We start from the raw sequence: 23933 nt of genomic DNA on the forward strand, positions 1-23933 counted from the left end.
AAAAAAAAATTAGCCAGGCGTGGTGGTGGGCGCCTGTAGTCCCAGCTATTCGGAGAGGCTGAGGCAGGAGAATGGCGTGAACCCGGGAGGCGGAGCTTGCAGTGAGCCGAGATCGCGCCACTGCACTCCAGCCTGGGTGACAGAGCGAGACTCCGTCTCAAAAATAAATAAAAGCAAACTGGGTGCGGTGGCGCACGTTTGTAGTCTCAGCTACTGGAAAGGCTGAGGTGGGAGGATTGCTTGAGCCCAGGAGTTCGAGTTTAGCCTTTTAAAAAGTAAAATTTAACTAGCCTGGGCAATATGGTGAAACTCCATCTGTACAAAAAACACAAAAATTAGCTAGGTTTGATGGCATGTACCTGTAGTTCCAGCTACTCAGGAGGCTGAGGTGGGAGAATCACCAGAGCCCAGGAGGTCGAGGCTGCAGTGAGATCATGCCACTGCACTCCAGCCCAGGCAACAGAGTGAGACACTATCTCAAAAAATAAAATTAAATAAAATTTAGAAAAAATAAAATAAGGAAAAAGTAAAATCAATGAACTCCGGTGTCATTGGAAGAGAGCCCTGCCTAGTCTCACAGGGAGTGAGCCTGACATCTTTGTCCCAGCATGTACCTTGCAGTTTCAGTTGTGTGTGACAACGACCAGGAGGCACTGCTGCAGCCAGGATCTCTGGTCCATGAGTCCATCCCTCCCCAGCCCTACAGGTGGCGCTGCAGGCTCCTCTTCCATGCAGGCCACTACCGCCTGCAAAGCAATGCAACGTGGGCCTGTGAGGATGAATGGACAGGCAATTGCTGAGATCTATGTTGCAGAGATCAGCTCAAATGAAATTCCTGGTGGGGTGGAAATGTCAAAGCCCTTTACCCCCCACCCCTGGGGAACCTGGGCTCAAGCATGTGCAGAGGTCTCTGCTTGTCTCCAATTAAACTCTTAAAGGGATAAAGCGCCTTATCCAGTTCGGGGATTTCTCAGTCTTTTAGACATACAGGAGTGGAGATGGAAACTTCCAGAATTTAAAGTGTGGTGTATGGATGGGAAGTTTTTGTTAAAACTCTGGTCAGTAGGCCGGACGCAGCAGCTCACACCTGTAATCCGAGCACTTTGGGAGGCCAAGACTGGTGGATTGCTTGAGCTCACGAGTTCGAGACCAGCCTGAGCAACATGGGGAGACCCTGTGTATACAAAGAATACAAAAATTAGCTGGGTGTGGTGGTGCACACCTGTAGACCGAGCTTACTCGGGGTGACCCTGTGTATACAAAGAATACAAAAATTAGCTGGGTGTGGTGGTGCACACCTGTAGACCCAGCTTACTCAGGGCTGAGGTGGGAGGTTCACTTGAGCCCTGGAGCCGAGGCTGCAGTGAGCCAAGATCACACCACAGCACTCCAGCCTGAGCCACAAAGTGAGACCCTGTCTCAAACAAACAAACAAAACAAAAACTCTCTGGTTGGTTGTCCCTTCCTCCTGTGAAAACATGTGAAAAACATACGTATAGAATGTTCAGATCTGAAATCACTAAAAACATAAAAACATACCATGTACAACTTGCTGTACTAATTAAGACTACCTGAGGTACTTTGATGAAGACTTGAGGCAGAAACCCACATTTGCCAGTGTTGGAAACTTTGTTGTTGTTGGGAGGTGAGACCCAGATCAAGGAGGGGGATTGGGGTTTTCTCCTGCCCTGGACCTGGACGTGTGTGGAGGGGTGCTCAGTGGCCTGCTGATGGGTTTCTGCTTTTTTTTTTTTTTTTTTTTTTTGAGACAGAGTCTCGCTCTGTCGCCCAGGCTGGAGTGCAGTGATGCCATCTTGGTTCACTGCAACCTCCACCTCCCAGGTTCAAGTGATTCTTGTGCCTCAGCCTCCTGAGTAGCTGGGATTACAGGTGCACACCACCATGCCTGGCTAATTTTTATATGTTTAGTAGAGACGTGGTTTCACCATGTTGGTCAGGCTGGTCTCAAACTCCTGACCTCAGGTGATCCACCTGCCTCGGCCTCCTAAAGTGTTGGGATTACGGGTGTGAGCTACTACACCCGGCCTCTGCTCCCTTTTTAAAGAACCCTCCTTCTTTCTAGCTTTTATTTATTTTTTGAGACAGGATCTTGCTCTGTTGCCCTGGCTGGAGTGCAGAGGTGTGCTCACAGCTCCCTGCAACCTCCATTTCCCAGGCTCAAGTGATCCTCCTACCTCAGCCTCCTGAGTAGCTGAGACCACAGGTGCATGCTGCTGCCTAGCTAATTTTCGTATTTTGTGTAGAGATGGGGTTTCTCCATGATGTCAGGCTGGTCTTGAACTCCTGGGCAAAAGTGATCCTCCTGCCTTGGCCTCCAAAGTGCTGGGATTACAGACATGAGCCACTGCACCCAGCCCCCTCTTCTCATTTAAATCTCAAGATAGTTTCATTTTTCTCTTATACTTCAAGTTCCGACATCCAGAATAGTGTGCCCCTGGGAGAGAAGTGAACTGTGAACTTGGCAGATTTGAGGGCTGCTATGGACTGAGCTGTGGCCCCCAACCAAACCCAAATTCATAATTTGAAGCTCTAACCCCTAATGTGACTGTATTTGGAGACAGGTTCTGTAAAAAGTTAACTAAGGTTAAACGAGGTCCTAAGGGTGAAGCCCTGATCTGATGGGATTAGTGTCCTTATACTATAAGACGCACCAGAGAGGGCTCGATCTTCCTGCCCCCAGCACACACAGAGGCAAGGCCACCTGCAAGCCCAGAAGAGAGCCTTGCTGGAAACTGAAGGGGCAACATCTTGATTTTGGACTTCCCAGCCTCTAGCACAGTGAGAAGCACACTTCTGTTACTTGAGCAACCCAGCCTATGGTACTGTCTCATGGCAGCTTGAGCTGACTGGGGCTTCGGCAGCTTTCAGGCCCAGGCTGTGGGGCAGCGGCAGGACCCCGGACCCTAGGGCAGCCCTTTCCTGTCTTGCCAGCTGAACCAGGAACAAAGGGCTCATTCTTCCCAAGGTTGTGCCTGACCTAGAATAAACCACCAAAACCAGCGTGAATACAGGCCCTGGGTGTCCAACCTGGGTTGCCAGCACCCCCTGGGCCCAACTCAGAAACTTTCCTCATCTTGCCCTTAGGGCCATGTCTGGGCAACCCCCCTTCTCTGGAGTGAAGACTGGGGTAGGAGACGTAGCTTTGGGTCCTCCCTGAGCAGGGGAAGGAGCCTGTAGTCAGCAACATTATGTTCTGCTGTGCTGTTCCTTTCCCCATTTTCTGTGTGTTGGTGTTTTCATGATTCATACTGCAGATCCGTGTGTCCGTAAAACCCAATCCCTGAGCGTCGGTTTCTGGAATCCCACCCAGCGCAGTGGCCAACAGCCTTCACCCTCCTCTCCCCTCTTCCTCCTCCCAAAGAGGACCAGCGAGGACACATGGGCCCCAGGTCCTGCAGGCAGAGCCTCGCCCTTGAGGTGGGAAAGCAGGACAAGCTGTTTGAAGTGGTTTTTTCCCTTCATGGCAGGACCCAGATCCTGCCCTACACACACCCATCTTGGGAGGGGACCTTTGGTGGGAGCAAGGGGACAGCTGTGATCCCAGCTCTGCAGCAAGAGGCATCTGTGTGGCCCTCAGCAGAGGACTGATAGAGGGTTCCTTTTGGGGATGATGGAAATATTTTGGAATTGACTGTGGCGTTGTTGCACAACTTGGTGAATATATTAAAACCCACTGAATAATATACTTCAAATAGGTGAATTGTGTGCTATGTGAATTATATCACAGTGAAGCTGATAACCAACAGGTCAGGGCTGTGTCAAGGACAGTTATGATCAAGTTGAACAGCTGTGTGCTGGGCCACCACCCCTGAGAGCCAGGCCCCGACTGCCCAGCATGGGCTGCTACGGGCAGAAGTCTGTGCTTCCTAAATGTCTGTAGTCACACAACGCACAGTGACAAAGGCGCCCCCCAGCCAGGTGGCCCTGCCTGTGAACGGTTAGGAATTCCAACTTCTTCTGAGCCCGTATCTGCCTAGCAGTGTTCTAAAGGCATTAACACTTCTCTTATTTCATTCTCACAACAGCCTTGTGAGGCCGTCATGATTCCCACTGAACAAATGAGGAAACTGAGGCTTGGGGAGAGGACTGCCCCATGTACTGAGCAGAGGGTGGTGGGGGTGGTTTTGGTCTGGGGAGTTTGCCCCCAGCCCTGCCCGCCCCTATCAGGCTCAGCTGCCACAGCCTTTGCCCAAGTGGGTAGGGACGTGAGGGGTCACCAGCACGCCCTCCTTGCAGCTGCATCCCGGCTCCTGGCTGTGTGGATTGTAGCCTCAGCATCCCCTTTACCAGCAGGGGTGGGAGGGGCTTTCCCTGGTGCCAGGAAAGTTTGTCCTAGGCTGCTGGGGGGCCATGCTGCCCTCCTGCTCAGCTGTCTATGCCATGAGGCACCGCCAGGCCTTGCTAGCTGACAGGTCAGGCCACACCAGCCTCCAGTCAGGCCTCAGGCACTGTCTTGGCTTCCCGTATTTCCTGAGCAGGGGCTGAGGGAGAAATGACAAGTTCGTCAGGCTCCCATGAGGACCCAGTGATGGCCTCCAGCACACTCCGCACCAAGCACGCCCTACACTAAGCACATTATACTCTAAGTCTTCTCGCCAAAAAGGAGGCAGAGTTTTTCAGCTCTGGGATTCCTGAATGTCCCAGCTTCCTGTAGCCTTGATGTCCCCGGACTGGGTCTGGGTGACTGGGTCAGGGTTCTTGACTCTCCTCCCTCATCCTGCCCAGGCCCCGGCGCCTGCTGCCCAGGCTCTCGTCTTCTTCTTCACAAGCTGTGTGGGCCTGGGAGAGGCCAGGCAGGCTGGAGGTGAGGGCAGCTGCCCCTCCTGTCCCTCTACTTTGGGTTAGCCAGGCCTCCCAGGTCCTTGGGGCATGGCTAGCCAGTGTAGATGGGCTCACCAGGCTGCTGGCTGGGCCTGTGCCTATGGCTCAGGTGTCCTTGTCCCAGTATTTGCCTCTAGATTCTCTGCAGGGGCCTGTGGGCTCTGGAGACGCACAGGACCTGAGCCCCAGGCTGTTCCCATCATCCTATGGGACCAGGGCCCTCCTGGGAGCCTACTGCATGATTCCTCTTTTGAGGGCCCTAGGGGCAGTAGGGTACAGAAGGTGGGATCTCTAGACTCACAGAGACCCAGGTTCCAATCCCAGGTCTGCCCTCAACACACTGGTGAACAGGCATCAGCCCAGGGCACCCCCCTGGGACCAAACCACATCACCCCATGCCTGGTCCCTCTGGAATTGGTGTTGAGGCAAACACAGGCACAGCCTCTGGCACTGCTAGACCTGGCTGGGTAGCTAAGTGGGGGGCAATTGCCTGACCTTGGCTTTGACAGGTTTATTCTCTCCAGACGGTCAGGAGGACAGGTGGACGTGTCCACAAATGTGTCTCATCCTCGCAACAGCTCTGAGGATTTCCTGGGGACTCCACCAGTGGCCGGGGCACCCAGCCCTCCTCCCCCAGCACTAGTTTGTTCTTGGCCAGTATAAGGTTTTGCACAGTTGACCTTATAAGCAGGGCTGACCCCAGCTGAGCCCGAGCAGCAGGGGGAGAAATCCACTGTGGTCAGCAGTGTGAGGGCAGTCACCTAGGAACAGCAGAGCAGGTCGGGGCTGGAGCTTGGGACTGCAGAATTCTGTGTGACATCAGAAGCTCCTGGGCCAGTTGTCACATGGAGTCCCAGGCCCCATTGGCAAGACCCAGAAATCTGCATTTTAACAAGTTGAGGGGGACAGTTCCACACTTGGGATTGAGGACCTCTCATGCCATCCTGAGGGTCCCTTTTCCCCCAGGACGAAGGCTGCCCTGTCTCTGCTTCTCTGAGATGCCTAGTTAAAAGGATATGACAAGGACGAGGGACAACAAGCAAGTGAACCTCCCTATCCCAGGAGACCTGACTGCAAGGCTGTGGGGACTTGGGGGAGGTGGGGCGGCCCTGAGAGTGCCTGGTCAGCTTCCAGACTGAGGCAGTTCCCCAGCCCGCTCAGGGCCAGGTGGACTGAGGTCACAATGAGGGATGTAGGTCTCAGCCTCTCAGCTAGAAGGCAGGTTGCAGTCAAATGTCACCTGGTGATGAATGGGAGGCAGCGATAGTTCTGGAGGTTGAGGGCAGTTGCAGGTGATTCCAAGGGGACTTGGGACACCCAGGTCCTGGCCCAGGACCAAGGACACCAGCCTCCCTAGCGCACCCTCCACGCTTCTTCCCCAGAACCTGCACTGGCTGCAAACACATCAAAAAAGAAAACATTTCAGGGCCAATTCATTTTTCTCAAAACATATATTTACCCCTCCTCTCAGTACATCTTTGAGCACCTTTCCCAGAATCTCAGGAATGTATAGACCCCCGCCCCACACTTCATACCCGCCCTAGGCCTTGGTGATGAGGCCCCTCACAGCTTGTGCAATGGCATCCCTGTCGATACCAAACATCTTCAGCAGCTCAGCCGGCTTCCCACTTCTTGGTACCCGGTTAACTGCCAGGTGGGTGACAGTGATGCCAGGCTCGCCCACTACTGCACTGGACACAGCCTCACCAATGCCACCTAGAAATGAAAGGAGGGGAGTCAGAAGACGAGGCCTCAGGGTGAGCAGTGGTGGGCCCAGCCCTCTGTCAGCCTTAGTCAAGGATGGAGGAGGCTGCATATGCACTGCCTTTCTCCACCTGTAGCCATGAGCCCATCACATAACTCATTGATTTTTTTTATTTTAAAGAGACAGACAGGTATCACCATGTTGCCCAGGCTGGTCTCCCAACTCCTGAGCTCAAGAAATCCGCTGTCCTCAGCCTCCCAAAGTGCTGGGATTGCAGGTGTGAGCCACCATGCACGGCCCAGAACTATTTTTATAAGCCCAAATATGGCCTCTAAATGTTTGTTTCAAACACCATTGTTGGTGACCAGCCAGCCACTGTCCATAGTCCAATTATCTACATTTGACCCCAGAGTCAAAGCCCATCTCTCCCACTGGGGCCTCCTACTTAGAGAGGCTGGTGTGTACTTAGGGAGCCTGCTGTGTGAAGGACTCACAAATACCAGAAATTCTGCATTGCTTCCCAAGCTGCACCATAGCTTCCACCCTACACTACCTCAGGGACGCCACCATCCACCATTTAGCAGCGAGGTTGGAATCCTCACCAGCTTCCTGGGCAGCAGGAGCTCCACAGAGCTCATCAGCAGCTGTGAGTTAGCTAGGTCCCCAGGCCAAGCCTGAGGCCTTTTAAGAGACCACGTCCCAGCTGCTCTGAGGGACAGCTCTGGGTGTTCTGGGCCACAGCTGCCCTCCTGGGGCTCAGATAGAAGAGGCACGTCCAACGCTCGGCTCTCTGGCCCTGTCCCTTGCCCAGCCTGCCTGCCCCAGGCCTCCTTACCTTCATAATAATGGTCCTCCACGGTGAGGATCCTGCCCTTGGTGGCACGAGCGCTGTCGAGAATGAGTTTTCTGTCCAGGGGCTTGATGGTGAAGGGGTCCAGCACGCGGATGTTGATCTTTTCTGTGAGGGAGAGCACACGGCGTGGCTGAGGGGAGGGCTGGGCACCACTATCTGCCCTGGTGGGGGCCTGGTGGGACATCCTGAGGGCTGCGTGTAGCTAAGAGCTCAGCCTGCGGGCCTGTCCCTGTCCCAGGGAGAACCACTTGCCACCTCGTTCCCATGGCTGAGCTCATGCTTGCCAACCCCTTGCACTGGGGCATCTGGTCCAGCTGTGTTGCCCGCAGTATCCAAGAACCCAGAGCGGAGCGTGCAGGCCCTGAGCGCCTTCCCTCATCCTCCCACAACCTTGAAGACAAAGGGAATGCGAGAGAAAACACCCCAGGTGTCTGGCCTGATGGAAGGTGAGGCTTGATGTGGTGACGTTGGGGAGCTGCAGCCCGCAGAGTGATCAGAGGCCCACGTGCGGCCCCAGCAGCAGAGGCACCTTCTCAGAAGGACAAACCCACGCTTGCCAGGCCCTGCTTAAAGCTCACCCCCCTGGGTCTCCCCCTGCCTGGGGATGGACTCCTCTGGCTCCTCCAGCCCCATCTTGCTCCTGCCTGACCCTCCTCCGGCCTCCCTTCACTCTCCTCTCTGCTAATCAATTCCTACCCACTCTGAAGCCACTTTCTGGAAGATGCCACACCTGCCCCCTCTTTCGTGCTAAAACATGACATCTGCTGTGTGATTCTATTGCAGGAGAGGCCAATGCCTGTCTCCCCTACAAACCACTAGCCAACACTGTGAGCTCGCAGTAATAATAATAGAATACCAAGTCACATGCATGTAACCCTCAGGAGAGCTCTGAGGGCAAGGGGCTAGTATCTCCATTTTACAGATAGGAAAACAGGCATGGTGACAGTGAATAACTTACTTCCTTAACTAGTGCCTGGCTGAGTGATTCCAGCCCAGCTGGCAGGCTCCAGGCCACTGATCTGGCCACCATGCTGGGGGGGTCTCGACTTTAGAGTCATAGGGTAGGGACTGTGGGCACTGCAGCCCCAGGACTTAGCAACATGCCAGACAGAACAAGTGCTCAAAGGATGGCTATAATTGCTATCATTATTTAATGAAATGAAATGCTTTCTCTCTAGCTGTGAGCTCTTCAAGAAAGAACAGAAAGAACGAAAGAAAGAACCCCAAGACCTAGCATGCAGTGGCCGCTCAGTTGATGACTTTGGAGGCCCCTTCTCCTCACCTTTCTTCAGCAGTTCGGCAGCGGCCAAGGCCTCGTGCAGGGTCACCCCAGCCCCGATAACGGTCACCTGGTCATCCTTGCTCTTCAGGACCACCTGGGGGTGACACAGAGGGTGAGTAAGGCTCAGGGCCCTGGGGCAGGGTGTGCCCTGACTGCTGGGAGTCACAGCAGGGAGGGTCCAGGCAGCTCTGTGGGCTCCTGGGGCATGCGAGGCACTGACCTTGGCTTGTCCGACCTGGAAGTCCTCATTGTTGTTATAGATGATGGCATTTTCTGGGCGGCTGGTCCGGATGAAGCAGATACCCTGAGACCGAAACAGATAAACTGAGGATACAGGATGTGGCACACCCAACCTCAGAGACGAGGTCTTTCTAGAGAGGCCATCCCTTCCCATGGGAGCGTTAGTTACTGCATCCTGGCTACTCCAGCAGGGAAAAGGGCCTTGCTTGCCCTCTGCCGCCCGCACCCCACTTGAACACTCTGAGAACTGCCCACCACCTTGCAGCCTCAGACCGAAGGCAACTTTCCACCAGGTAGACTGGCTGCAGGTGGGCTACTCCCACAGACTGCACCAGGCAGAGGGGCAGGAACCACGCGCACTGGGTCTGTGGCATGCAGCTCCGGGCCTGGACCACAGGGCTCAGCTCATCCTTGCCTGTCTTGGAGAACCCAACTCAGGAGGGTGGAGAGGTGTCAACCGCTGGACCGGCCAGGGCTGCCAGGATTCTCAGCAGAGACAGACTGGCAATCAGTTGACAATGTCTGCCACGTGGCAGTAAGTGGGGTGTGTATTTCGTTTTTTCTTGTCTAACTTCCACAAGCTACACGAACACCAGGGGCAAGGTCAGGAAACACCCCCTGGGGCAGCAAGTGACCAGCTCTGGCCTCCTCTTCTGTTTCCCTTGGGAAGTGATGGCTGCCAGCAGGAGAAAGAACAGCCATGCAACCTACCTTTGTATTGGCGGCTAGTTCCACTGCCTTCTCTGTAGCAACGCCATCACTTGGGTAAAAGACAGTTGATGTGGGGACTGACCGAAACATAGCCAGATCTTCTAGGGCCATCTGGGAGGGCCCGTCTTCCCCTGGGGTGTGGGGGAAAGGATATGCAGAAATAAGACCCCTACCCCCCCATCCATGGGCTGGAATCCTGGCCCATCCCCCTCCCATACCTCCTGGTGCAAAAGTCAAGGGAGCTCCAGGTGTAAACACCCTGGCTAAACTCACCGATGGAAACGCCGCAGTGGGAGCCGCAGAGGTTGATGTTGCTCTCGGAGATGGCGGCCATGCGAATCTGGTCAAAGGCCCGCGTGAAGAAGGCTGCAAAAGTGCTGCAGAAGGGCACCGTCCTGTTGCGGGTGGCACAGCCCACCGCGATGCTCACCTGGGGGCAGGTGGGACAGGGTCAGCCCAAAGGGGCAGGCAGAGGGTGGTCGGGGAGCCTAGGACCCCTTTTGTGGAGAAAGCCACAATTTGTATATAGATTGTCCATCCTTTCTGGGCTTCTGAATATGTCCCCCACCACCTTCTTCTGCAGAGACCGGTCCTCCCAACCCCTCCCTGGGGTCCGAGGGCAGCAGCCTCATGCCTGCTGAGGCTCCAGGCCCCAAATCACTCATCCAGAAGCAGCACTGAGTACAGTCATCAGTTCCAAACCAGCTGCCCTTCAAGGCTCCAAAATCTGCCAGCCAACACAAGGCCTCTTTCCCTAGTACCTGGGACCTCCCCAGCCCCACGCCCTGCAGAGCAGTCTCTGGAAACCACAGAGAGAATTTCAGGTCCAGTTGGAAGAACTCTGGAGATCTGAGTGCCCTCCAGAGAGAGGAAGCTCCCTGTCCCTAGGGGCCTGCAAGCCAGGCTGGGCTCCTGGACCACCAGGAGGGGATATTTTGAAAACATGGACAAAACATTGTTCCTTACTTCACAACCTCAGTTCCTGACAAGGGTCTGCTTCCCCAAATGGGTACATGTCAGGGGCCCAGAGTTCCCTCATCTCTGCATCCCTCAGGGTGGCAGGGCCCAGAGCCGTGTGCATTACAGGTGCTCTACAGACTCGGGCTGCTAAACCCATCACGGCCCCACCTACTGGCCAGGCCTGTCCTCCACCTGGAAGAGACCCCATTCACCACCAGGCCTGGCCTGTACGCAGCTCCTCCTGAGAGCACCTGCAGTCCCATTCGGCTCCCCCATGTGCACACCTGTCCAGGACATTTGCACCTGGGCAGAACCTCCCAAACTGTGGCTGTTCAAGGTCAGGGGTTAACGCTGGGTCCTGGCTTTTCTTATAGTCTCCCTGGGCTGGCCTACAGCAGGCACCTGGCTCTGCCAACATGGCTGCCCCGCACCCCTCAGACCACAGCCCTCAGCCTTGGGTGGACCTGTCCCTGCCGGCCCCAGCACCTACCATGTTCTGCTCAGCAATGTAGCACTCGATGAAGCGGTCCGGGTGCTCCTTTTTGAAGATCTCCGAGAAGGTGGAATTTTTGGTGTCCCCATCCAGGGCGATGATGCGGTCACTGGCATGGCCCAGCTTGGCCAGTGCCTGCCCGTAGGCCTTGCGGGTGGCTATCTGTGAGGAAGAGAGTGGGAAGGCTCTGGACCCCTCTGAGGGTGAGTGCACACCTGCAGCCTGGAGCCCTGCTTTCAGAGAAGGATTAAAACGGGGCCAAAAATGGAAGCCCTGGAGCACAAGGTCCTGCAGAGGCTTTTAACTGCTGAAAGGTTGCCAACGACTACGGTCAATGTCTTGGGAGCCCCTGGAGCCCCGGCCCCTTCTGGCTGTGAAAGGTATAAGCTACAGAAGACACCCACCAGCCCCAACTTCCCGCCTGCTGCACCAGGTCCATGAACCTATTCCACTTTGCATGGGAACACAGAAGGCTTGGGAGTCAAGGCCAGGCACAGGCTGCATGGATGGGTTCCCTTGGGACAGAAACCTGGAGTGGGACAGCTCTGCCTAGCCTTTCCCAGGTCAGGTGGGGGTCCTGAGCTCAGGCCAAGGGTCCCTCGTGGACCAGCGATGCAAGAACTTGGGAGTGAGTCCTTGGCTTTGATCTCAGTTCTGTCAGTAGCTTGCTAAGCTTGCTAAGTGGGCAATTCCCTTGCCCGGTCTGAGCCTCTGCAGGTCAACTCCAGAGATGTCTGTCATTCTGAGGGAAGTGACAGGAACAACACCTCAGGGATCACTCCTCGCCCTAAATGAATCGCTCTCCTCCCTTTCCCAGCCCTCCAGAGGGTGTATCTGGGCCACAGACTTGGGAAACCTGAGAACTATGGGTTCAGAGAAACAGGCCCCACTTTGTACCTTGTCCCCAACTTTGTAGCTGGGCAGGCTGGGCATGCGGATGTTGGCAATGTCCACTGAGGGTGCGTCCTCCTGTGGAGGGGTTGCCAGGATCTTCTTTTTGCTCTGGATCTGGCTGTAGATCTCCTGGATGATCTGCTCAGCCATGTTTTTGGGGAGGGGCTTCCCATGCCAAGACTCCTTATCTTCTACCCCTGCAGACCCAACACGGGAGGACAGAGGAATGGGTAAGACAGAAGCTCCCAGAGGGCCAGGAGGCTGCTCCAGGAGACTGGCCCTCTACCTGCCGAGGGCAAGGGAGGAATGGCATCATCCCAGACAGGCAGAGCCCAGCCAGGCACGGGGGCCAGGAAAGGAGGGTCGCAGTGAATAGGATGGACTCCTACGTGCCCACCACTCACTGTCTACTGCCTGGTCCTTTGGGAGCTCACAGCTGAGTGGGAAAGGAGGGGCCAGACGTGGGCAGGTGTGTGTTTCTGGGCCCACTGCCCCATCCCTTCACCAATGTGTCCATTCTCTTCCTCCCCACAACCCCGCCTGCAGGGTCACACACAGGTAGAGGTGTCTGCTGCAGAAATACTCAGTTTGTCGACTGGGTTGGAAGGGACCCTGGCCATCAGAAGGGGAACCCAAGGCCCAGAACAGGGCTTCCAGGGTCACCCAATGCATCTGTGAGCAGCAGAGGAGTCTATAAGCACCTAGGCATGCCCACCCCATGGCACCTTGTTGTGTGCGGCCAGGAAGGCTGAATATCCCTCTCCCTGGAGGTCACCTCAGTAGTCACTAGAGTCTGGCCAGAGCCAAGAACAGACTGAACTCCCAGGTAGCACCCAGCAGCCCGAAAGACTAGCAGGAGCCCCCAAGAAGCTGCAAGTGGTCCAGATCCTGCCCATTTTTAACACCAGAGGGCAGTGCCAGGCAGCAGCACCAAAGCCATGACAATATCCCAGAGCCCTTTCCTCGACATCCACCCCCTCCCAGACACCTCCCAGCACTGCCAAACCCCCACTCAGAACATCCTCATATACCTGAGTCTACATGGGCAGAACAAGCCACAACCCCTGAGAGCAGGCAGGTGGGCAGCCAGGGGCATTTGGCAGGGAAGCCGACCCAGGCCCTGGGATCAGCCCCCCTCGTGCCATAGACTTCCTCTGTCCCCGGGCAAGTCCCTGACCACTTGTAGTCTCATTTTCCCATCTTTAAAATGGGTGAGGCCATCCCAGGCCTAGGAATCTGAAGCCCACACCTGGGTGCCAGGGAGTGACTTACGCCTGCCTCATTCTCCGGCCTGGGGCAGAACCCAGGTTCCAAACCCCCCAAGGCTCTTGGCCCACACAGGCCTTGCTCAGCATCTGCCATTGCTTGAGGAGTACCCCACTCACCTCCTGGAGGGAACAGTTCTCTCCGGGCCCTGCCTGGCTCTGTGTCGGCCCTTCAGCTGGAGCAGGTGGCCGGAGCTGGCAGAGCACACACAGCTGCAGCTCTGAAAGGCACCAGCCAGGGTGGGGCACGGGGGCTGCCTCACTCCACGACCTTCCTCTCACCCACAGACCCTCCAAGTCCCTCCTCTCCTCCTGCCTGTACATGCCCCCACCGGCAGAGGCCAGACGGATCTGAGTTTAAATCCTGGCTCAGCCACAGGGGTCACTGAGTCACAGCATCTCCCGCTCCCCTTCCCTGGAGCCTGGTGAGCTCAGTGAGCAGCAAGGGCTGTTTCCCTGGATGTGCGGGTCAGAGCTACGTAGCCACAGTGTCTGGGCGAGGGGTGAAGGTGGGGAGGGCGGCTTGTGCATACTGACCCGTGATCCCTCGGCCCTTGAAGGTCTTGGCAATGATGGCTGTTGGCTGGTGCTTGGCCTGGCCAAAGGCCTTGCACAGCTCCTCCACGCTGTGTCCATCCACGATGATGGCATGCCAACTGGGGACAGGGGGCAGAGAGTAAGGGGCAATTCCCAGGGGCCACAACACCGAGGAGCCTTCCAGGGAAAGGTCTGCCTTGGCAGCTGGGGTCTGCCCAGGCTCCACCCCACAACTGCGGCCTCAGCTGGAGTAGTAGAAAGCTTGCAACATTCCTGTTTCCAGTTTGGGTTTTTTAAATCCTTTTCTTTTTCACATTATTTTACTTCCTTTTGTTTGCCTCTGAACAGGTTTTCCTCCTCCTCTTAAGTAATCCAGAGCTCAGTTCCTTTATTGTCTCTTTCATTCCTGATCTGCTCATTTCCTACTGAAAGCTGTTCTGGGGTCAGCGCACTGGGTTTGGAATCTGTCTGCTATTAGATTCTTGATGAATTTTTTGGCCCAATTCTTATTTGGGGAACACATTTGATCACTCCACAGATGCTGGATGTGGTGCTGGAAATGTTTTTGAAATGAACCATGGAGTCAAATATACAGGAAGGAGCTGGGGCAGAGCACCCTTTCTCTTGAAAAGCTATCCTTTTGGGGACTCTTTTTGACATAAGAATAAAAATAGCACTTCTCAAACTGAGTGCCATGCCAACCACTACCCATATTAGCCCACTGAAGCCTCACCACGCCATGCTTGGGTGCTGAGCTGGCCCCATTGTACAGACAAATCAACTGAGACACCGAAGGTGGAGTAAGTAACGTGACCCACGCCACAAAGCAAGTTAGCGGTGGAGCCAGGACTTCAGGAATCTGGCTTGAGTCACGAGGTTATGGACACAGGTCCTGGGGGTGCTGCTGGGGTTGTACTCTGAGTCCCCAGATAGATGTGGCCTTGGGGAGGCCTGTGGGGTGAGGACCCTGTGGCTCAGTTTCCTCGCCTGTCCAACAGAGATTATTTCCTCCCTTCCTCCTCTCCCTTTCTGAGGTCAGTCATCAGGGAACACAGGCCTGCGTATGCTGTGCTACTGCAAGGTAACCCCAAGCATCCTGTTACTTAGTGTAGTCACAGGCATGGGTTCATCCGCAAAACGCAGTCCTGGAGGCCTGACCTGAGTCTCAAAGCCTTGCACGGCACCTGCCCTGCTCCCTCCCCTCCACAGCCTCCTCAGCCAATGCTGGGCCCCTGTGCAGAGCAGCTTGTGTTTGGCAACACCGGTGGAGGCTTTGAGGTGGAGCCCCTCTGGCTGACACCCATGCAGATTGACCTCCCTGCTTTGTGCCCTTTGACCCTGAATTTGTAACCAATCAAGGCCGAAGGGGGGCATCTGGAAACCCTATCTCCCATTTCACCAGGAGCCTGTTCCTCCTCCCCAGGCTGGGCGGGGCTGGGCACAGGACGTGGCCACCAAACTGAGGTTCAAACCTCTCCGCAGCTATACATCCTTTAGCTTTACCGAGCAAGCCCCCATCCCTCAAGAACCCTCCTTCCTCAAGAACAAAGCGAGCTGACGTGAGATGGTGTGTGGAAGCTCCGAGAGCCACCATGCCACAACCACGAAAACAAGGAAACTCACTTAAAACTGGGCCTGGCCCACATATCCTGAGCCATTAAGTCCAAATGCCTAGAGTTTGAAATTGTGAGTCAAATGCTAAAGAAAGGGACCTTTAGATGGTGCTTAAGGTCCCAGCTTCAGCTCCTGCACCTGCACCTGCAAAGCTGTGATCACAGACCACTCTCCCGTGCTGTGACCACACTCAGGCCACAGCCTCGTACATACCCGAAGGCCTCGCACCGCTTCTGGTAGATGTCCATCTGGTGCTGCAGTGGGGCCGGGTCACTCTGGCCCAGGCGATTGATGTCTAGAATGGCCACAAGGTTGTCCAGCTTATAGATGCTGGCGAAGGCCATGGCCTCCCATACAGAGCCCTCTGACAGCTCCCCGTCTCCCAGCAAGCAATAGACTCGGTAGCTGTGGACAGAGAGTGAATCAGGCCAGTCCCTCTCACCTGGACCCAGCTGGCTCCCACCCCCCCACCCATCCAAGGAGCCTGCATTCTGGGTAAAGGAGCAGCCACGCATGGATATGCAGAACAGATGGCATTTACACTCGAGGGGCAACAGTGTCACCAGGTTCCTGCAGCCTACCACAAGCCACACCCCAAGAGAAAATGGCATGAAGGAAGACGTCAGGAGCTCAGGAAGAAGTACTGGTTGTTAAGAAACAGAGGTCTAGGACAACAGGGATCTGGCTAATAAGATCTAGAAAAATGGGGGTTGTTGGAATGAGAGGAAAGTGAGGAAGGGTGGGTGAATAGGCTTGAGCCACCTGCTGCAGGGGACAGACCCCGCTGTGAACCAGAGGTTGGAGGAGGCCTTGGGACTGGCTGGGTGGGCCAGTGGGAAAGGGGAACCTTGGGAACCAAGCTCTGCTTCTGCCCGGAGGAGGGAGGTGGGCCAAGGAGGCCTGAGGCACTCTAGGCAACACCCTGGAGCAAGAGGGCTCTGGGGAGGATAGAGCAGAGGGCACTTGAGGACCAGGCGCTTCCTGGGACAGGCTCTCCCCAAGCTTCCAAGACTAGCTCTTGACCCCAAGACTGAAGCTGCACCTGGCTCTTTCTCTACCACAGGGGCCCTCTCCTCCCCTCAACACAGGCAACTGTGATCTTTTCAAGACAGTGAGACGTTAAAAAGAACACTGAACTTGGGATAAATTACCCAGCAAACAGAACGTTCCCGGCCTGGGAGATGTGAGGGGATGGGGGTAGCAGAGGGACGGCAGCAACAGACAGGACTTGTCTGAAGGTCGCGCTGTCAGGAAGTTGCTGAGCCAGGATTCAAACGCAGGTCTGACTGTAGCCTAGACTGTCCGCTCCTTGCCGTGCAGGCATGCAAGTAGGGTGAGGAGTGGTAGGACTTGGGGACCTCCCCTTACCCTGCCCAGTGTCTAGCTGTGTAGCCCTAGGAAATGAGGCTGGTGCCTGGTTGGGCTCAGAGGGGACATGGCTGCCCTCCTGCTCCTGCAGGAAAAGGCCCTCAACCCGGCTGCATGCTCAGCAGTCCAAGCCTCCAGGCCTCCCTGCCGCAGGGCCAAGGCAGGGGCAGCAGGAAGAGGCTGGGACAGCTAGCCACGGAGCTGTCAGCATGACTCAGCACTTCCACATGCCAGCAGGCCAGGAGCACTCCCTGCAGCCTCTCCTGCCTCATACTGCTCTTCTGTGGCCTCCACCACAGGAGGTGGTGCCCCTGTGGGGTACCATGGCCAGAAGGACAAAGCCTCAGGCCCACACTTCAGAGGCCCTATCCTGTCCCAGCCTTGCCTCCTCTTTCCCCTGTAGGTTTTGAGGGGGCCCAGAGACCCTGCAGGGACTCTGGTCTGGCACAGCAGCTCCAGAAAGGGGCCACATGATGGGGCTGAGCCAGAGAAGCCAACTCGACTTCCCAGAAAGGGATTCCAGGGAAGGCAACTGGCTGCCACCCCAAGCCCACACCCACTTCCAGGGAAGTCGAACCGAGGCTAGCACTGGAGGCCCAGCACAGCTTTGGCTTCGAGACTAGGGACAAGGCTAAGCCCTACAGGGCCATCAGGCTCAGGTCAGAGGGCGTGCTGAGGTCCCGAGGAGATGCCAAGGAAGGGGTTGTGAACAGGGAAGGGGCCTACAGGAGCCTGGGCTAACCCTGAGGCTTGGTATTGCCTGAGCTGTTAGAGTTAGGGGTGGGGGGCTGCAAACATCCATTCATGAACTAATTTGAAGAGAGGGAACCCTAAACAGAAGGTCGACATTTGTTGTAGAACGATTTGGAAACTACCTTACGTGTCCAACAACAAAGGACTGGCTAGATGGATTATAGCATCTCCATAAAACAGAATATTATGTGATCATTAAAACCAGCTCTCAGGATGTGTGCAGTGGCTCACGCCTGTAATCCCAGCACTCTGGGAGGCTGAAGTAGGGAGATGACCTGAGGTCAGGAGTTTGAGACTGACCATCCTGGCCAACGTCATGAAACCCCGTCTCTACTAAATATATAAAAATTAGCTGAGTGTGGTGGTGCGCGTCTGTAATCCCAGCTACTCGGGAAGCTGAGGCAGGAGAATTACTTGAACCCAGGAGGCGGAGGTTGCAGTGAGCTAAGATGGCACCACTGCACTCCAGCCTGGGTGACAGAGCAAGACTCCATCTCAAAAAAACAAAACAAAACAAAAAAAACCAGCTCTCCACTGTTAATATCAGGAGAAAAAGCTCATGATAGAAGGCTTGGTTTAAAGTGTAATACTAGATTTTATATTATACACACACACACACACACACACACACACACACACACACACTGGGATTACAGATTTGTAAGCTTTTCTCATGATAACATGGACAAAATACATCATTAGATTTAAATTGGGGGTGGGAGGCAGTGTGCTAAGAATAAGGAAAACATTGGTTGGGTGCAGTGGCTCATGCCTGTAATCCCAGCACTTTGGGAGGCCGAGGTGGGCAGATCACAAGGTCAGGAGATTGAGACCATCCTGGCTAACATGGTGAAAGCCCGTCTCTACTAAAAATACAAAAAATTAGCCAGGCGTGGTGGCACGTACCTGTAGTCCCAGCTACTCGGGAGGCTGAGGCAGGAGGAGAATCACTTGAACCCGGGAGGCGGAGGTTGCAGTGGGCCGAGATCGTACCACTGCACTCCAGCCTGGGTGACAGAGCGAGACTCCATCTCAGAAAAAATAAAAATAAAAAAATAAGGAAAACGTTCATTTCTTAATATCATTCTGTACTTTTTAAACAGGAGGGCAGGGAGAAACAGTGAGTGGAGACCAGTTTGCTCTATCAAGACGCTACCTCCGGGTGCCTGGCCTGACATGATAATCCCTGGATGCCCTGGCCCCTTCCCCCAGGTACAGTCAGGGGCCTAGGCTCCAGGCAACCCTGGCCCCAAGCCACCCTGGCTTCTGGGAACCCAGCTAAACTCCTTCTCCCTACACTGACTTGTTCCATTATGTTAGGGTCAGGAAATGCCCCTTCACAGGGAATTATTTCCAGCAACTGTAGGGAATAATTAACTCACATCTCTGGTTCTCTGCCAAATAAAATGCTCTTAAACATGCATCTCATTCTTTGTGTGTCTCTCTCTCTTTACTTCATGGTGAATCACTTCTGGGTGTAGCCAAGCCTGCCCCAAGGCTCACCAAGGAATGAAAGCAAACTGTGGTCAGGTGACACTGGCCTGAAGGGGTCTGGAAGGGACTGTGAGGCCTCCTTGGAGAGCCAGTCCTGGGGAAGGGCCTGCACACAGAAGGTGCTCCCTGCAGCCTCCTGTCCTTCAAGGACCCACAGTCTTCCCGAACCCCACTATGGCACTTCTGCTGCAGGAGTGGAGGACAGGGCAGTGGAGATGCCATCAGCTGCAGAACTGGGCCCTTCTCACACCCTGCGGGCTGGCCCCACTGGCCTTCCTCCTCTAGGAGGCTTCCCGCCCACAGGACTCCCCGAGCTCCTGTGGTGCCCTCAGCCTCTCCAAGAGCAGCCTGGGTACCTCCACCACCAACTGGATGGCCTAGGCCAGCATCTTGCCTCAGCTTCCTCACCTGTAAGACGGGTCACGGTTCTCACACCACTACCCAACTCACAGGGGGCTTTTAAAGGTGGAACCCAATACAGCACATGAGCACTGAGCACAGGGCCTAGCCCCCAAAGGGCAAAGGAACCCTTCTGATGAGTGACTGACATGGTTAGGCTCTGGGTCCCCACCCAAATCTTACCTTGTAGCTCCCGTAATTCCTACTGGTTGTGGGAGGGGCCCAGCAGGAGATAACTGAATCATGGGGACAGGTCTTCCCCATGCTGTTCTCGTGATGGTGAATAAGTCTCACAAGATCTGATGGTTTTAAAAACGGGAGTTTCCCTGCACAAACTCTCTCTTTGCCTGCGCCTTCCACATAAGATGTGACTTGTTCCTCCTTACCTTCCAGCATGACTGTGAGGCCTCCCTAGCCATGTGGAACTGTAAGTCCATTAGACCTCTTTTTCTTCCCCAGACTTGGGTATGCCTTTATCAGCAGTGTGGAAACAGACTAATACAGTGATTATTCTTTAAAAAAAAGAATAATTTTTTTTTTAAAGAGGCAGAGTCTCGCTCTGTAGCCCAGGCTAGGGTGCAGTGGCTCAATCATGTATAGCTATAATCTTGAAGCCCTAGGCTCAAGTGATCCTCCCACCTCAGCCTCCTATGTAGCTGGGACTACAGGTGTGTACCACCATGCCTGGCTAAGTTTTGTATTTTTTGTAGAGAGAGTCTTGCTCTGTTGCCTAGGCTGGTCTGGAACTCCTGGCCTCAAGCAATCCTTCCCTCAGCCAGCCATTATTCTTAACAGTTTACAACCTCATCCCCCCAGGCCATATCTGACCACCGCAGACAAACTTATGGCTAGAACCTTCCTGGGGGGCCGTTCCTACAAATCACCTGGTGGGCGCTAGAGCAGCACACCTTTCTGGTCAGGCTCATCACCCACCCTCTGAAGGCTCAATCTCTCAAATGTTTGTTTCTTCCCTGCTGATAGGAGGTGGCTTACAGGTATCCCAGAACCCCTCAGAACATACAACCCTCCCCTTTACCAAGATAAAGGCAAGTGGCTCAGGCCTGGGCTCCTGGTGCCTAGTCAGACAGGGGCCTGGGGGTGGGTCTTTCTGAGACTTCTGGGGTCTGGGCACAGGGCTGGGGGCAAAACAGGAAGTCCTCAGCCTAAGCACTCTGGCTGAAGAGCACATGATTGAGAGCACGCACTCTGTGCAAACCTGGCCCTGCCAGTCACTGCTGAGGGACCCAGGGCAGGTCCCTTAACTCCTGAGTGTTTCCTCATTTGTAAAGGGGGCCGGTCATGGCACCAGCCATAGCGGATGTTTAAAGAGCAAAAGAGGCCACGCATATGTATTACTCTGCCCTAGCCAGGAAAGAGGAAGAGTCTGGGGGCGATGGTGAAGGGTGGGTCACCCAAGGACCACTCCCCAAAACTACCCAGGTTGGGGGTGGGGAGTAGGTGTGTTACCTGGCCTTGTCGAAGTATTTGCCGGTGTAGGCCATCCCACAAGCGGCCCCGAGGCCCTGGCCCAGGGAGCCAGTGGCCACGTCGGTGAAAGCTTGTTTCTGTCATAACAGAAGGCCACCGTTAATCTGAGAGGAGAAGGGATCCTGGTCTCACCCGCCTAGGGAGCCACACTCCCACCCAGCCCAGCAAGCCCTTCCTCTGCAGAAGGTCAGGCCCCAGGATGGCCTCTACCTAGCATGTGACTTCTTCTCCTAATGAACTAATTATAATTATAGGTTCAAATCCCAGCCCTGCCCACTAGCCAGCTATGTGGCCTCAGGCCTCAGGCAAGGGACTGAACCTCTGTGAGCCTCAGTTCCCACATCACCCACTTCACAAAGTGCTGGGAGAGAGAATCATGAAAAAATTGACAGAACATTTGCCCCTCGTGGGGACCCAGACCATGTGACAGTTTTTGTGGTAATCCATGAAGTCTTAACGTTTGCAGGGATGCCAGATGGCACCCCAAGGAACAAACTGGGTCCCTTCCCCAGGGTTTCGCCAGCATCCTGCAGCCACTCCCTTATCGAGTCCCCTCTCTTCCCAAGCTGTAGCTACCTAGCCAAGGAGGCCCAGTGCAGAAGGGTAGCTTGGGGAGAGGCCCTCCCTGAAGTCATCCCAGAGCACCCTGGCTGAGGCCTCAGAAGGCCTTCCCCTTTGGCACCAGCTTGGGTTGAATACGTGTCCCCAAAACACCTGCTTCTTTCCTTCCTCAACTCAATGCCCTCCTCCGCCTTTCAACACCTTTGGCTTCTCAGTGGGCACCCCCTACCCCCGTCCCACATGTCTGGGAAATAGGAAGTGGAGGCAGAGGCATGGGAGGCTCTGGCAGGAGCACTTACCGGGACCGGGTGCCCGTCCAAGTCGGAGCTGATCTTCCTCAGGTTCAGCAGCTCCGCCTCGGCCAGGAAACCAGCTTCAGCCCAGACCGCGTAGAGGATGGGAGCTGCATGGCCCTGCCGGGAGATGGATGGTGGGGTGAGGTCAGGTGGGGAGCGGTTCTACTTCGGGCTGTGCCTACTTCACACTGACCCCTGGGGCCCGGCCGAGCCGGCCAACTGCAGCATCCATTTCAGGGGAGGAAGCAAGTGAAGGCCACTTCTCCCCTTTCAGCCCTCTTCAGCCTCTTGGTTTTCAGCCCAAAGTTCCCACTGCCAAGGCCAGGCAGGCACTAAGACAGGTGCAGGGGGCACAGCTGTGAGGCTGGACGAAGCCAAAACCCCAGCAGGCAGCCGGCTGCCCTAATCCCTGGTTTGTGGCATGGGAACAACTTGGACAGACTTCTAAGCTCTAAAGCCTGCCCGAGAGACCAAACGCCACGGAGGCAGGCCTGAGCACAGGTGGATTTCAGGGATCTGTGGCTGTGATTCCACCCAGAAGGGGGGGGTCAGGGGGTCCCCATCCAAAACCCTGCTACAGCACACCACCACCCCGAGGGGGCAAGCCGTGGCCTCGGGAGCGCTGGCACAACACAGATAGAGCAGGTAGGGAGCCACAACCCAGACCGAGATGCCAGTCCTGCCTGTCAACACCCAGACTGGGCAGAACACACAACAGATGTTTCCGTAGTCCCCTACTCCATTTCTTTGAGTTAAAGCGTTGTTTATGTACCTGGGCTCCATGGCAGAGCAACCCATCAATTCAGTCCTGTATTCCTTAGCCAGCTGGGTCAGCACAGAGCAGGACACTGAGGGAGAGGCCAGGACGAGCAGGGAGAAGGCACCTGGGAGAGGTGGGCCCAGCCAGGTCTCCTCAAAGACCACTCACCATTCCAGGGCCCGTGTGACCCTAGTCCCAGGCAAGGTGTGGCTGGCAGTGGGCAGCTGGGCTCTTACCTTGGAGAGCACAAAGCGGTCATTGTGCGGATTCCGGGGGTCCTGGGACTTGTAGCGCATGGTGTGGAAAAAGAGGACAGCCATGATCTCTGCGGCGCTGCAGCATGACGTGGGGTGGCTGTGGCCCAGGAGAGAAGACAGACACAGGCATCATGGCCCTGCACTCCTGAGCTATTGTGCTCAGCTGTACAGGGACCTGGGGGTGCATGTCCTGAGGAGTCACACAGGCCTGGCTTATCAGACAGCCACGAGCTCTTGTTCCCTGGGAGGGTGACACATGGTCTCAAGAAGGCCACTCCTGGCAGTTTGGGGCCTGGGCCAGCTAGTGGGTGCTGGGGACTGTTGTACCTTTCCAGGGGCATCAGATCCTCAGAATCACGGCAACTGAAAATATCTGGGGTTGGACTTGAGTAAGAAGGAAGGAGGGGCCCAGGAGAGATCTAGCACAGAAGACTCAGCCCAAGGCTAGCACTGCGGCTGGGGGCAGCTGCTGTCAGGTAGAACCCAGTTCCCACCTAGTGGCCCCCAGGAGTCTAAGGACTCAGCAGCCAAGGGGTGCCGGCATTCCTACGACTGACCCCACATCCTGACAGGACTGCCCGGACACTGCCCACTTGTGAAGGGCACCCTGCCCTCTCAGCACCCAGGGGTGCTGGGCCTCTGAGCCCATGGGGCAGGGAGGAAGGGACTGAGGCTCATGGAGTTACCACAGACCTCCCAGCAGCCTCCACGCATGGGGTGTGGTAGCCTGAAAAACTGGGCCTTGGGCTTTCCAATTGCATCACTGGGCTACTTGAAAGCTTTAGAAATGGGCAGTTTGAGGGCTGCTGTAGCAACTAGGAAACAGGCTTTTGTGTAGAATTTTCAAAGCAAGACACATAATCTCATCTCCTACAAGGCTACAATCATGTATTAATAAAAACCCCTTCTGCCTATGGACAAGGGCTGAGGAAGGGCTGACAAAGCAAGAACCTGCCTTCCAGCCTGGGAGTGGTGGGGCCACGGAGTCCCCTTGGCTTTTTAGACTTGTTTTAATCACTGAGCGGCTCCTGAGCAATAGAAAGCGTAAACTTTCTATTGCTTCCTGCTTCCCAGCAGGAAGCGCTGCAGGTCCTGATCAGCCCTGAAGCCCTCTGGTCCCAGGGTTTTGTTAAAAGTTCAGCCTCAGGGCACAGGCCTCCC

At 55.3% G+C, this 23933-nt stretch overlaps 1 protein-coding gene across 5 annotated transcripts in view, besides 4 other annotated features; it reads right to left on the reverse strand.

Annotated features, from left to right (window-relative positions):
• Positions 557-606: a silencer, noted in NCBI's record as "silent region_14463". NCBI's record gives its function as "represses an Ori minimal core promoter by ATAC-STARR-seq in GM12878 lymphoblastoid cells {active_cell/tissue: GM12878}" and the evidence as "EXISTENCE:reporter gene assay evidence [ECO:0000049][PMID:35858748]".
• TKT (transketolase) overlaps positions 5339-23933 on the reverse strand; it is a 31311-nt gene continuing 12716 nt past the window's right edge. The window contains exons 2-16 of one of the 5 annotated variants that reach the window (XM_011534054.2): positions 22752-22869; positions 21759-21872; positions 20878-20975; positions 18424-18447; positions 15610-15801; positions 13783-13901; positions 11984-12177; positions 11084-11248; positions 9907-10063; positions 9634-9764; positions 8903-8986; positions 8683-8776; positions 7383-7505; positions 6378-6558; positions 5339-6236 (exon numbers count right to left, since the gene is read on the reverse strand). In XM_011534054.2, the coding sequence (XP_011532356.1) occupies positions 6383-6558; positions 7383-7505; positions 8683-8776; positions 8903-8986; positions 9634-9764; positions 9907-10063; positions 11084-11248; positions 11984-12177; positions 13783-13901; positions 15610-15801; positions 18424-18447; positions 20878-20975; positions 21759-21872; positions 22752-22869 (1789 nt within the window). In that variant the 3' untranslated portion in view covers positions 5339-6236; positions 6378-6382. Of the gene's footprint in view, positions 6559-7382; positions 7506-8682; positions 8777-8902; positions 8987-9633; positions 9765-9906; positions 10064-11083; positions 11249-11983; positions 12178-13782; positions 13902-15609; positions 15802-18423; positions 18448-20877; positions 20976-21758; positions 21873-22751; positions 22870-23933 lie in introns of all 5 variants that reach the window. The other 4 variants (NM_001135055.3, NM_001258028.2, NR_047580.2 and 1 more) reach the window with 4 other exon arrangements.
• Positions 8556-9755: an enhancer, noted in NCBI's record as "CDK7 strongly-dependent group 2 enhancer chr3:53261945-53263144 (GRCh37/hg19 assembly coordinates)". NCBI's record gives its function as "activates an origin of replication core promoter dependent on BRD2, BRD4, P300/CBP, MED14 and CDK7 cofactors, with strong dependence on CDK7, by STARR-seq in HCT116 cells {active_cell/tissue: HCT116}" and the evidence as "EXISTENCE:reporter gene assay evidence [ECO:0000049][PMID:35650434]".
• Positions 17000-17808: an enhancer, noted in NCBI's record as "H3K27ac-H3K4me1 hESC enhancer chr3:53270389-53271197 (GRCh37/hg19 assembly coordinates)". NCBI's record gives its function as "activates a minimal SCP1, AML or CMV promoter by ChIP-STARR-seq in naive H9 embryonic stem cells {active_cell/tissue: H9 hESC(naive)}" and the evidence as "EXISTENCE:reporter gene assay evidence [ECO:0000049][PMID:30033119]".
• Positions 21502-22497: an enhancer, noted in NCBI's record as "H3K4me1 hESC enhancer chr3:53274891-53275886 (GRCh37/hg19 assembly coordinates)". NCBI's record gives its function as "activates a minimal SCP1, AML or CMV promoter by ChIP-STARR-seq in naive H9 embryonic stem cells {active_cell/tissue: H9 hESC(naive)}" and the evidence as "EXISTENCE:reporter gene assay evidence [ECO:0000049][PMID:30033119]".

Source organism: Homo sapiens, chromosome 3 (assembly GCF_000001405.40).
Source record: "Homo sapiens chromosome 3, GRCh38.p14 Primary Assembly".
NCBI classification, from domain to species: Eukaryota; Metazoa; Chordata; class Mammalia; order Primates; family Hominidae; genus Homo; species Homo sapiens.